A 14,885-nucleotide genomic window follows, 5' to 3' on the forward strand; every position below is an offset into this window, starting at 1 on the left:
ATAAGATTTATTCTCTAGTATTTATTTTATTTTTCTGCTACCTTTTCACTGACAGTATAGCCTATTATAGTCCTTGGCATTTTATGGAGGAAACAGTTATAACCTCTCACTTCATAGGGCCCAAGTCTCATCCTTTATTTCTATGTCTGGGCATGAAAATGAAAGGACTGTGGTTACTGAGCCTGGAAGCCACCAGCATCACCTAAGAAGACCATAAAGTCAGGTTATGTTCTTTTTGCTTAAATTCTCAATTCTTTCTTCTTTGGCTAATAGGAATTTTACTTATTTTCCTGGGAGCTCAAATATCGATTTCAAAGGTGATTCAGGTTATAGGATCTGCTGCGCTGCCAGAAATAATAGAAGCTTCTATATTGATCCTCTACAGTTAAATGGAATACAAAAACAAGTACATGGTATATAGTTTTTAAAAACTCTCAAACCCAATTGGTTCCCTGATCTATAATTATTAATGAACTAGAATCTTCTTAAACTTTCAAAATTTTAACCTAATCTAGAGCATTTGGTTAAGAAACAACTTGTTTTTTATATTTCTTTCAAAAATCAAATTTTATTTCAGAAACTCTGCTAGAGTTTTGAAAAGCTGATTCTAAAAATACTCAAGGAAATGGTATTATTTACCATGAAAAAGTACCATGTATGTATTTTTCACCACTTTGCTGGTACGTAATTAAATATAGATTACAAATCAACTATTTAGGTCACTACTATTTAATTAAAGACTATTGAAAGTACCATTTATGAATTGTTCACCTCTTGAACTATTCGTACACCTTTTTAAGAGCTACACAATTCATAAATGGTACTTTCAATAGTCTTTAACTTGTAGTGACCTAAATAGTTCATTTGTAGTCTATATTTATTTAAATACCAGCAGTCTCCATTTTAAACATTTTTAATGGATACTTAAAAATTTTAGTTCTATTTTAACTAAAATTGTCATTATTTTTGAATTTCAGTTTATATGATGTTAGATCAGTGAAGTAAACTGTAAGACTTGCTCATAACTATGATATTTAGCAAGTGGATAAAATAGTTACAAAGATGTTATTTGTCCCTTTTCTTTTACAGGATTAAGGAAACTGAAGACAAATCATTTGTTCAATAAAACAGGTCAGTGATGACGCTAGATGTCATGTATGCTTTTTAACCTCCCACTCATTTTTCTTTCTACTCTGTGAAGCTGCTTCGAATCCTCAGCTTTACTGGAGATTATTTAAGCTATTAGTAAGAGAAACAGAAGATTAAGAAGAACAGAAACACTTTAGGATAATATCAGCTAGCCATAAATAAAGTATTATGATCATTTTCTATGCTTTTTAAAAATATTTAGCACATATTTAGAGTTCATTAAAATTTATTTTACATAGAAAAGTTCCAGGATTGAATTACCTACCTTTCCACATTTAGGAAGAGTAAGACTACACATATCCAATATAGAAAATTAAATCAGATACTATCTATCCAAATTAAATTTAAAAATAAATAAATACTTAAACTACGGATATAAAATGATGGAAAAGAAAAGAGCTTAAAAGTCTTGAAATGCAAAATGTTAAGTATCTGATTGTCATTACTTTACAACAGAGTTTCTTTTCAACTACAGTAAAATGTAAAATAACAAATTGTATTTAATATAATTTTCTAGTATCAGAAAATATTTGTTTAAAATATATATACAGTTTATATTCTATTTATTTTTTGCTAGAGTTCATACATTTTTACATAAAGTTGATATCATGTTATTTGTCACATTTTTCAAATTATTAGCCTAATGAAGTGAAGAGTGTGTTACATTGAAAATAAAGATGGCTGGATTCTTGCTCTAGTTCAGAAACTAAGCATGCATATGACTTTTGAGAAGCTATTTAACCTATCCTTTCTTTCATTTCTGCAAAACAACTCTTATGCCTACCCCATACCATTTGAAAAATGATAAAATTGTACTAAATGACCTATAAGGTCTTAGATCTAATATGCTATAATTTTAATGCATGTGCTTGCAATACATTTCTACACAGCTAAGATACATTTGTATTCAGTGTGTTACAAGGTTCCCAATTCTTATTTATAAGACATGGAATCAGGGTAATGTACTGTGGCATGAAATACATAATAAATACATGAATGAATAATGCAGAGTCCTTGATCCTTAACCCTTGCCAACATCGCTCATTAATTGAATGGCTAATTTTGAAGTAAGCAACAACTACAGTATCTGCTTCATTCCATTTAACTTTTAAATGAAGAGGCTCCTACTGTGAACTTAAAATATAGTAATTTATATCTGAAACAAAGCACTCTGTCCACAACCCTCAAATCTTACTTTTTTATTTTGTACTGATATGTTCATTTTGGGGAAATTTCTATTCAATTCTTACTACTTATTTTTGTACTGATATGTTCATTTTGGGGAAATTTCTATTCAATTCTTACTACTTATTTTCACCTATTACACAAACCAGTAACATTAAAATAGGGAATGCTTATTAGTGAAACATACAAATGTTCTCCCAAAGTAAAGAATAAATATAGTAGAATAAATTTATATAAATAATATAGTCTCTGAGTTTGAGTAGTTAAGAAATATACACTTTGATTTAAGAAAAAGCTTAATCAATAAAAGACATTCACAAATGCGTTAATACTGGGGTATTTACAGATTATGCAATTTACTTTCTCATTGAAGGCAGACTATGCAATTTAAATTCTTAGCTGAACCTCATGAGTTATGGCTTTACCCTCTTTCTCCCTCTATTTCACCCACACAAATATACAATCTATAAAGCAAAGCCACATCATTTCACAGAGCAATGATTCACTTCGTATTCCAAGATGAAACCACTTTGAGACTCTCTGATTGGAGTTGAGCTTCTTTTAATATATTAAAATATCAATTAAAGAGTAGAGTGACTATTTTGAAATTCCCACCAAAATATTCAGCCAGAAAAAAATATCAATTGGAATAATTCATTTAAAAGTAACTAATGAAAATAACTTTTCTCCTATTTCTAAATTTTTGTCTTTTTATTGTTTAGTTCTAGTAATTTTTATATAAGCTAAATGTAAGTATTCTATCTGATCAATATTTTATTATTCATCACAATCTGTAGTTTGACTACCTATTTTCTCACTGTTGTCTTTTTTAAATAAGCTTTTTAGGTTGAAATAGTTTTAGATTCACAGAAAATATCCAAAATTAGAACAAAGAGTTCCCATGTACCTTGAATCAAGTTTCTCCTATTATTAACATCTCATATTATGGTATATTTGTTAACAATTTATGAACCAATATTGATACATTATTATTCACTAAAAACTATACTTTACTCACATTTTCTTAATTTTTACTTAATATCCTTTTTCTTGTCAAGGATCCCATTTAGGATTTCATACCTCATTTGGTTATTATTTCTGTAAGACAAGGCTCCTCTTGACTGTGACAGTTCTGCAGACCTTTCTTGTATTTGATAACCTTGATAGTTTTGAAGAGTACTGCTCATGGATTGTGTAGCATGCCCCTCAATTGGGATTCATCTGATAGTTTTCTCATGATTCATTGTGTTATGGATTTTTGAAAGAAAATCTACAAAGGTAAAGTGCCATTTTATCCCATCATATCAAGGATACACACTGTCAACATGACTTATCATTATTGATGTTGACCTTGATCATCTGGCTCAGGTAGTATTTGTCAGGTTTCTCCACTGTGTTCTTGTACTCTTTGAAAGGAAATAACTATGTCCAGCCCAGACTTTAGGACTGAACTCTTATGATGGCAGTCTACATAACTTATTCGGAATTTTTATATACTGGAGATTTGTCTCATCTCCCCAATTTATTTATTTGTTCAATTATTTATTTATGTCAGTATTATTCGTGGATATTCATTTTATAGTTTAGGTTTCAATCAAATACTACTTTATTTTGTTTCCAAATTATTATAGCTTTAGCCGTTGGGAGCTCTTTAAATTGGTTACCCTCTGTCTTTGACATACTGGCATCATTATGGGATCTGTAGTTGTTTATTTATGTATTTATCAGCTCATCCTTAGTTTCTGGCACTAAAAGATTCCCTAGGCTCATCTAGCACATTTCCTGCCCCAATCCTAAAAGCAGCCATTTCTCCAGGGACTCCTATTTCCTTTTATTTAATAATGGCACTAAAAACCAAGATCTAGGTGTTAGTTGTGCTCATTGTTACTGGGTGTCATTGCTTGTAGGCCCTTTTAGCAGACAGAACAAGGAAATACATGGGTGTATATTAACCCATGTTTATATACAGATCTCTAAATATTTATATGTAAACAATTCATAACTACGTTAAGATAAACATGGTCTCTTGCTGACATCTCCAACACTAATTCACTACTGAAAGGTTTATTCTAGCCTCCTTACCTTGCCTATCTACAACTTTCAACTCCAGTAGTCAGAAAACTGGCTTCTACTACCCACCATCAATTTACTTATTTGTTCAACTATAACATACATGCATAGTGGTTTGTATTTTTTAACTAGTATCAATGTAAGCAGCAATTTTATTAACTAGCATACAGGGCTTTTGTAAAGTCATTTTTTGTTTTTTGTTTCATTTTTATTTTTTCTTTAGTCTAACAGATTCTATTCATTTCCAAAATTAAGTAGGTGGACGTTTTTTCACCACTCCCTTCAGTGAGGTATTTCATACATTTGTAATATAGTTAGATTTATTTCGTAGCATTCTGCATTCCACCCCGGAATTTCTAACCTCCTAATTTTTTAAAATAGAATACATTAAGGTTCACTCTGTGCTGTAAAGTTCAAGGGATTTTGACAAATGCAGAGTGTCAAGTATCAAGTATCTACCACAGCATTATCATACAGAATCATGTCACTGCCCTAAAAAAAATCCCTTGTACTTCAGCTATTCAACCCTTCCTTCTCCTTAATCCCTAGTAACCACGGACATGTTTACCGTCACTACAGTTTTGCCTTTTAGTAATATCATGCAACTGGAATAATGCTATATGCAGCTTTTTAGACTGGCTTCTTCCACTTAGAAATACACACTTAATATTCATTCATGTCTTTTCTTGGCTTGATAGCTAATTTCTTATCACTAAACAGCATTCAATTTTATGCATGTACCATGTTTTGTTTATTCATTCATATATTGAAGGGTATCTTTGTTGCTTTCAGTTTTGCCACTATAAACAAAGTTGTTATACATATTTATGTGAACGTTTTTGTATGTGTGTGGATGTAGGTTTTTAAATTAGTCAGATAAAAACCTAGATGTATAATTGCCAGATTATATGGTAATACTATGTTTAATTTACTAAGAAAATGGCAAAGTAGTTTTCAAATTAACAATGCCATTCTCACTGCAATGAATGAGAGTTCTTGTTGCTATGCATTCTTTTCAGCAATTGGTATTGACAGTTTTTTTTTTTTTTTGGTTTTTATCCATCCTAACTCATGTTTACTGATACCTTGTTCTCTTAACTTCCAATTGCCTAATGCTATACTTGCTACTTAGTTACAGGAGATTTGCGTGTGTATGTGTGTGAGAGTGTGTGTGCATGTGTGTGTTTGTAGATTTGTTGGACTTTCTATATTGATAATCATGCTGAATAAAGACAATTTTATTTCTTCCTTCCCAATCTGTATACATTTTATTACCTTTTCTTGTCATACTCAACTAGCACATACTTCCAGTACTATGTTAAATATGCATGGTGAGAGTGAACATATTTGCCTTCTTCCTAATATTAAGGCTAGTTTCTCGCCATTAAATATGACTGTATCAGTCTGTTCTCATGCTGCTAATAAAGACATACAAGACTGGGTAATTTATAAAGTAAAAGAGGTTTAATTGACTCACACTTTCACATGGCTGAGGAAGACTCACCATAATTGCAGAAGGCAAAGGAGGTGCAAAGGCATGTCTTACATGGTGCCAGGCAAGAGGGCATGTGCAGAGGAACTACCCTTTATAAAACCATCAGATCCCGTGAGACTTATTCACTATCATGAGAACAGCACAGGAGAAATCTGCCCCCGTGATTCAATTACCTCCCACTGGATCCCTCCCATGACATGTGGGAATTATTACAGTTCAAAGTGAGATTTGGGCAAGGATACAGAGCCGAACCGTATCAATGATGTTAGCTGATTTTGTTTATTTGTTTTTGTAGCTTTCCTTTATCATGTTGATAAAGTTTTCCTCTATCCCTACTTTTCTGAGAGTTCTTAATCATGAATGGTGTATTTTTTTAATGCTTTTTCTTCCTGCATTACTTGTTATACTCACATAATTTTTCTTCTGTAGCCTGCTAATGTGGTGGATTATCCTGATAGATTTTCAAATAATGAACCATCCCTTCATTCCTGGAATAAATTCCACATGGTCACAGTGTTTAATTTTTTTGTGTGCATTGTTGGATTTAATTTGCTAATATTTTGTTGCAGATTTTTACCTCTATGCTCATGAAAGATATTTCTCTGTAGTTTTTCTTTCTTGTGATGTATTGATCTGTTTTTGGTATTAGGATAATTCTGGAATCACAGAATAAGTTAGGAAGTTTTCTTTCTGTTACTCTTTCTAGTTTCTTTAAAAAATTTGGAGAATTTGCATCATTTCATCCATAATTATATCCTTGGAAGAATTCACAAGTGAAACCATTTGGGCCTGGTACTTTCTTTTTTGAAAGGAATAAATTTAATATTCTAAAAAAAAGATATGTCTTTTCAGATTCTTAATCATTTTTGTTTGATCTCTATTCTAATTCCCCTTCAGCTATATTTTTTTCAAATGTTTTACTTTGACTTCAAGACACTTTTTCAGGTGAGGTACTTTTAAATTACAAAAAAAGAAATTGCTAATCTTAAACAAAAACAGTAAGTGCACAATATTCTGAGTTTCTGCATTTACTAAAAGTGTTGTTTACATTAATAACTGAAACTGTTGCTTTATACTTAGAAGTGCTTTTACTGAAAATGTATCTGGAGATTAAAGAAAGGCATATTAGGTATATTATTATAAAATGTAGATAATATAATGTTTTAAAATAAATTTTTCCTATTTTATTTGCTTTTCAGATACCATGTGTACTAATATTTTGAAACTTATAGTGATATTTATAAACAATGCTATTGAAGTTATTGATAGAAAACTGACTCTACTATTACCATTGACTATGGGAGCTATCCAATTCTCTAATTTTATTTTTAAAATATTTACAGACTCCAATAGGAGCATAACATTATTATTATCTGACTACACATTTAAATTTTAGAACATTTCCTGAGAATTTTTATGTAAGAACTTGCATAGTTTATTTTGGAAAATGTAATTTATACAATCAAATAGTATATACATTGTGGCTGCAAATGTGTAGGTTTAACAAATTTCAATGTGCTCTTCTAAATTCCCTAGTTCCTTCTTCTACTAGGTTTGGCCATTATGAGTATAATCAATAAAGTTTGAAGCAAAGTGATTCACATAACTTTAAATGTAGTTAATGTCCAGTATGCCTTCTCTGTTTACTCTTCCCTTATTACAGGGACCTTAAAGTTCAGCTATTGCAGACATTGCCACAAGTTGCATGTCAAGATGACTTATTCTAATATATCTTATTATAGCCTTACCCAAACAAATATATTCATGCACTTATTTAAGTATGATTTTGCAGATACAGTTAATTTTTTATTATTCATTACACTAATGTTTTACAAATTCATCCGCAAATCCTGAATTAGCAGACACTGAAACACTGTTTCTAGGAGAAATGTGTATGTGTACACATATATGTCACATAGATTATAATCTTAAATCCCAAAAACCAGGTCATCCTAATAGCTTCTATTTTATTTATCTTACAGAAGAGAAAAGTAAATTCAGAAGTGTTAGGTGACTTACCTGAGACTACCCAACTACCAGATGACAAATTTCTATCTGGCCTTTCAACTGACTCCAGAGTGAAGCTTCTTGGATTAGGATGCACTGCCCCCTACCATCCTCTTATCATCACTGTGTGAGAATTAAAACAAGAAGGCAGAGCATCCACCCTTATGGAAGCAGCACATCTGGCCACTCACCTGTTTCCGTTAACTGAGAGAATGACTGCAAAAGCTCAGTGAGCATGGACTTGGGGGTTAAGAATAACAGTGAGTAGGTGAATTCACACACATGGAATCCACAAATAACGAGAATCAAGCATATGTCCATCTTGATTTGACCAAAAAAAATGGATGTTTAATTTTTAAAAATGTATATGACCATGACTACCACTCATTTTTAAGTAACTATTTACTGATTTATTATATGAGTCAGACTCTATGCTAAATTTTACAGATATGGGATGAAGGAATGGCTTTTCCTCTCAGGAGCTCTTGATTGAGTAGAGAGAAAGTCATACAAGAAGTAACCATGCAATGTCATAAGTACATGCTTCAGTTAGGGTAATATTAGCTATAAAAGACTTAAAACTCAACTCAAATTAATTTTAACCATACTGGAATGTATTGCTTTATATCATTAAACATATCTTGAAAAAGTTTACTTTGAAAGCATGGTTTGATCATATTTTTGTTTATATTTCTTGTGATTTGTGTACCTCTCCCTTCTGTTGTATCTTCACTCAATCCTAAGGATAGCTTGCTTTTTGGTAGCAAAATTTCTAGGGCAGCTGAAGTCTCACATCTACACTCCAAACTATTGAAAGTTTGGCGTGTAAACATGAGACTTCAGATGCCCTAGAAATTTTTTTTCTCCCATGCCTTGAATTAAAAATGTCTTGAGCTGCAATTTGCCTGTTCTTTTCTACACTGTCCTGTGCGCGCTGAAAAATATGGCCTCCTTGCTTCCTCACCTTCAAGCCCTACATTCAGAAAAACACCAAATTTAACCTGATTATCACTACGCCTCATACTGTGACCTGAAATGTCTCTTCAAGCATTAAGATGTTACCATCACAGCAATTACAGTCACCAGAGTATTTAGATGGTTCTGAATGCATTATGCAAATTAGGGCCCATCCTGGGAGATAAGGGTGGTGTTATTCACAGCCAACACATTAGTGAAACGCATTGCATAAAGTTAGAGTGATGCCAGCCACATGCAATCACAAAGTCCTTCTATTATTATATTATACAAATAGGTATAAACTAATAAAATAGAGGAGTACAAATAATTCTGTTTTGAAAACTTTACATTGGTTATTTTTTAAATGTTGTAGCAACAAGGATGTTACATGCAGGATGAATGCTATCAAATGGAGAAAGAAGAAAGGAATTGAATATAGGAAGGAATATGGGAGGGTCTCAGTTGCACTTGTAAAATTATAATATTATGTGAAAAAAATAATAAAAGTTCATACTTTAGACAGTTATTTATAAAGTTTGCAAAAACATTGAAAAGATTTATTGAATACTATTTTATTCTGTTATGGTTTTGACTTGTTCCTTATTAAGTTTAGAAATGATATTAAGAACTAGGCATGGTATTTCAGTGAAGTGCAATGAGTGTGTTAAGATGATCTATAAGATAAAGTGTGAGAATATGCCTACAATGTTGTTAAATTGAGCTCATTTAGTCATTTATCTTATTGCTTGCATGAAATAGAGATAGATTAAAAGGTGGTAACAACTAACGTATTTTAAAGAGCTATTATAAAAATTTAAACAGAAGGAATAGGGACAATATAAGGGCATAATGATGAAATATCTCCAAATTCCAGTAGACTATTTCTGGACAGTGAGAACATTGTAGACTATAATAAACCTAATAGAACTTTTTATTTCATTCTTCCTAGTTCATTTTCTTTATTAAGTTTGCAATTCATATAGGCAACTAGTCTTTTTTTTTAACAGTACTAATGCGTCCATCTGGTATATTATACGACCATAATCTTCCCCAAGATTGGAAAATAGACTGTTGCTTTAAGACCAGCAAATTTTAAATATTAAGCAAGCAGTAGTGGCAATTCTAAAACCAAAGTAATGAAAACAGTAGAAATTGCCCATTTGCTGTTATATATATATCCTGACTTTTCTCCAGACGTTTTGAAGATAACTAACAGATCAATGGGAATTTTCAAAAGTAAAATTGTCAAAAAACTTTCTTCAGGAAATTATCTTGAGTTTCAAAATCACAGTAAAAATAGTATACTTCAGTATACTATCAGTAATAGTAACTTCAGTTCCAAAATCACAGTAAAAATAGTATACTTGCTGTAATATTTCAATGTATACATTTTTCAAATATTTTATTATGACGATTTTTCAACATAAAAGTTGAAAGAATTTAACATTCAACACTCCTACATTCATCATCTACAATTAAGCTTTAACATTTAGATAGATTTGTTTTATTTACACATCGATCCATTTCTCTCTCCCTATTTCCATCCATTATCCTATTTTCCTTTTGAAGCATTTCAAAGTAAGTTGCAGACATCAAGAGAGGTAACCCTGAAAATATCAGCATATATGTCTTTAACTAGGTTTTACAATTTGTCTAAAATTATTTTAGGGTAAAATTTACATACAATGAAATGCATCAATATTAATTGCACCATTTAATATAAGTTTTGACAAATGAATACAGCTATGTAAACCAAACCCCTGTCAGGGTACATAAATTACCATCAACCCACAAAGCTCCCTCATGCTCCTTCCCAGTCCATCAGAGCTCCACCCAATCACCAGAAGCAACATCTTTTCTATCATAATTTGTTTTTCCTTATTCTAGATATTTCTATACATGGGATCATACATAATATACTACTTTGTGCAAAGCTTGTTTAACTCAGCAAAATATTTTTGAGATTCAGTCATGATATTATTAGTTATAACATGCATTTATTATTTTTATCCTAAATATTATTGTATTTTATAGCTATACTATATTTTGATTTTTCATCTTCCTATTGACCAACACCTGGTTTGTTGTGAAGCTGCTAAAATCATTCTTGTAGAAATCTTTTTGTACGTGTTTCTTCATTTTGAGTGTATGTCTAGCAGTAGAATGGTTGGGTCATATAATGGATCTATATGAAGTTTTGTAAAAAATTTTAAAAATTTTTTCCAAAGTGGTTGTGACATTTTCATTTTTACCAGCAATGTATGAAAATTTTAATTGGCCCTAACCTTGCCAAAATTTGATGTTTTCAGTCTTTTTAATTTTAGCCATTCCTAGAGGGTGTGTAATGATATCACAATGTTGCTTTAATGTACCATTCCCTACTTACTTAGTGATGCTGAACAGTTTTTATGTGTTTATTATCCACTTATACATCTTAATGTATAAAATGTGTGTTCAAACATTTTTCCCATTTTAAAAGGTTGTTTGTCTTTATAATGTTTTGCTGTAGGAGTTGTATTTTGTGAGTATTTTGATTCACTGATGATTTGTTTTTGGTAAAGTCAAACATATCATTTTTTCCATATGTCATCATTTGTCCTGTATCTTATCTACCTATAAGAAAACTTTGCCTAGCTCTATGTCAAATAGTCATTCTTCCATATTTTATTCTGAAAATCTTTTGTATAAGCTTCTATGTTTCGGTCAATAATTCATTTTGAATTATTTTTAGGTATATTGTGAGTTATGGGTGGAGATTCATTTTTTCCATATAAATATAGTTATTTCAGTATCATTCATTAAAAATATGTTTTATTTATGGGTAGAGACTCCTCATGACCACTACCACTTCATTCTAGAGAATGAAGATTCTCTAGACTCAGAAAAACCTACTATCTCCATGTTTAGTGTCTTTTACAATGAAAAGATACACATTAAAATTAGCAAATTGTAAAGGTACATGGGATAAAGTCTAGAAGACATGAAGCATGGGCTTCTAGGTGTCCTCCCACAGTGGAGTCCTATGGATGTGCTTTATTATCCCAGCAATGATGTGTGGCAATACATGTGATGTATTTCCAGTCAGGAAGCTCAATCTTGCCTTGGTCTTCAGAGGTTTTATTAGGGGTCAGTCACGTAGGCATGCAGCACCTGTATAACTGTCCTCAGCTGTTGAGATTTTAGTTCCTCATACACTTACCATAAATCTCATTGTTAACAAAAACTACCCATTTAAACTTGTACTTTGTAATCTAAAGTCTCAGGCTTACAAAAACAGTTGTTCACAATAAAACACATAATTAGTGTAAACAGTTTGAACATTATTTTTACCACATGGACGGAGGTGTCAGACATACAGAAGCACTCTTCTCAGGCAGAATATTCCAGAGCCTCGGAGCTCATTTTTGAGGAGCCAGCCAAGGGCCCACCCTGAAGAAAGATGCTTATGGGAAATATACAGGGTTTGAGCAACCCAGGCATGTGAATTACTCCTTCCCTGCACATTCATTGAATTGCTTTAATATATTCGTAAAAAGTTAAATAACCCCCCCAATATGTGCAAATCTATTTCTGGGCTTCAAATTTTATTCTATGGCTTTGCTAATCAATCTTTACATCATTGCCATATTATTTTGATTCCTATAGCTTTATAATATTCTTGAAAACATTTATTATAGTTAAACTATGCTATTCTTTTTTAGAATTGCTTTAAACTATGCTTTTTTTCAGAATTGCTTTGAATATGCTAGAACTTTGTACTTCCATATAAATTGAAAAGACACCTTATTACTGTCTTTATGTAGTCATTTTTTATAATTTCTATCTCTTTGCTGTGATTTCTTAATTTTTCATTCATTTCAAACATATTTTCCTTTACATCACTCAGCATAATTCCTTTAAAATCTTTGTTGTGCCAATTCCAACATCTGAGTCATTTTGCTGTCAGTCTCTGTTGATTTTCATTTATCTTGAGAATAAAAAACATTCTTCTTTATTCATGTTTTGGAGTAATTTAGGATGCATGTTGGAAATTATGAATATTATCTTTTGGAGATCATGAGTTTTGTAATCTTCTTCTGAATCTTTTATTTCTATTTAGTCTGTAATGTAATTTACTTGGTTGAAATCACACCTCTGCAAAATCTATCTTTGTGTGGCAGCTGAAGTCTTGCTTCAGTTATTTTATCCTTAGGTGACTTGCTTGGAGTCAGATCCACAAAGTCATTATTCTAAAAACATGGACACAGTTTATAATTTCAAGTTGGCGACCTTCTCTTTTTCTGGCTCTTTTCCTGTGCAGTGTGTATTCTCACTTACTAGCAGCTATGGTTGTCCCAAACTCTCTCTTCTAGTACACCTTTAAAATCAGAAAGACAATGCCCTTTCTATCGCAGTTTTGGCTACTATCCATGGCATGGTTTAGAACTGCCTTTAGTCTAACAGCTAAAGTAAATGAGAGACTCAGTCAGTGTCATTTTCCCTTTTCTATTGTAGACTACTCTTCAGAATATGCTCTTTTAGGGTCATTTCCAGTGCCTTTGGCTGGTCTTTTTTTTTTCTTTTTACATTTGTTCACAGTTTATATTTATTATCTGTAGAAAATATTCATATAGATGCTTATTTGGCCATTACCAGAAACAAAAATTCCTTTGGAATTGATGACCACAGATGGTGAATAATCTGCTTCGATGGCTGACTTGTTCAGTAGAAATCTTTATAGATGTCTGGGGAGTGACACTGCATAATCTGTATTACTGAGATTTGAAATATATTCCAGTAAATTTTGTTTTGAAAAAGATTTTCTACATGCATATGATGTCCAATCCCACTCAAAAGTCTACTAACATCACAGTAAATGATTACATTGCATAGACATGCATAAACACAAAGGGAAAAGAGAAGCAACATAAAACAGTTTACAATACAATTTTGCAAAATATGAAGCAGATGGTCAGAGAGTAACTAAGAAAAAGATGTCTAGAGTTAAAGATGTTAACAAGAAAAATGAACTAAAGTAACTTAAAACTTTCAGACATTGGAGACCCCAGTAACTTTTTAAGTGTGAGATAATGGTAGAGCTGAAATAGAGGAGTTACTTGAAAGTATTTAGAAAGCTAAGTTAGATAATTCTCCATCCCTCCTTCACTCATCCAAGTATCCAGGCACTTACCCTCTTCTAAGAAAAAGAGATGAAGCTTACTTTCTGGAGAAGAAAAAAATTAAACCTAAGAGATTCCAAATAACAGTATATCAGGCACAATGTATGTAATAAAAATGAGTCATATTGAAACAAAAGTTTGAATTAAGCAGAAGCCAACAGAATAAAAAAGAATTCTGTCTTACTATGCTTAACTCTCAGAATGCTGGAAATTAGTTAAGCTAACACACAGACTGAGATTGTCAAACCTTACCTAATATCAATGTTTACTAAATATTTGAATAATATAAGAAATTAAAAAGTTCAGATAAGGCAATGAGATGTCTGGAACATCAAAAGTAGCACCCCAATTCCTTGTCATATTGGTCTATGACACCAGTTCCAGAATAGGTAAGGCCACTATGTGAGATTCACCCACACAGAGGGAACATTAAAATATTATGTATCTTTATATCTTGCATCAAATATATTGTTCTAAAGATTGAACAAAAAGGAAAAAATATTGGAAAACATTACATACAAACTGATCCAATATCAATAAAGTGCTCAGAAGTTAAGAACATAGGAAAAAGAGAGAAGATAATAATTAAAAAAAATACAAGAATTTCATTCCTCCTCCAATACACACAAAAAATAAGATTACCCTGAAGTCCAATAAAATTAATTTTAAAATACTTATTAATCAGAGCATATTTTCATGGACTTTTAGAATACTAAAATCCATGAATAGAACTTAAAAGCTCCCCAGAAGATAATGGTAGTGTGACCAAACCTTTATTATAAAGACCATAAGATGGTTATTTTCCTTATTTTCCTTTTATGTTATCCGTTTCATCTTCCACGAAAGCTTGCTTGAAAGTAGTC

General features: G+C 31.6%; 1 long non-coding RNA gene across 1 annotated transcript in view; it reads right to left on the reverse strand.

The window, feature by feature from the left end:
- Nucleotides 1–10,246: 10,246 nt before the first annotated feature.
- LINC02232 (long intergenic non-protein coding RNA 2232) overlaps nt 10,247–14,885 on the reverse strand; it is a 90,220-nt gene continuing 85,581 nt past the window's right edge. The window contains exon 7 of the long non-coding RNA NR_033976.1: nt 10,247–13,609. This is a non-coding gene — a long non-coding RNA (long intergenic non-protein coding RNA 2232). The remainder of the gene's footprint in view (nt 13,610–14,885) is intronic.

The sequence above is a fragment of the Homo sapiens genome, chromosome 4, assembly GCF_000001405.40.
Source record: "Homo sapiens chromosome 4, GRCh38.p14 Primary Assembly".
Taxonomy (NCBI): Eukaryota; Metazoa; Chordata; class Mammalia; order Primates; family Hominidae; genus Homo; species Homo sapiens.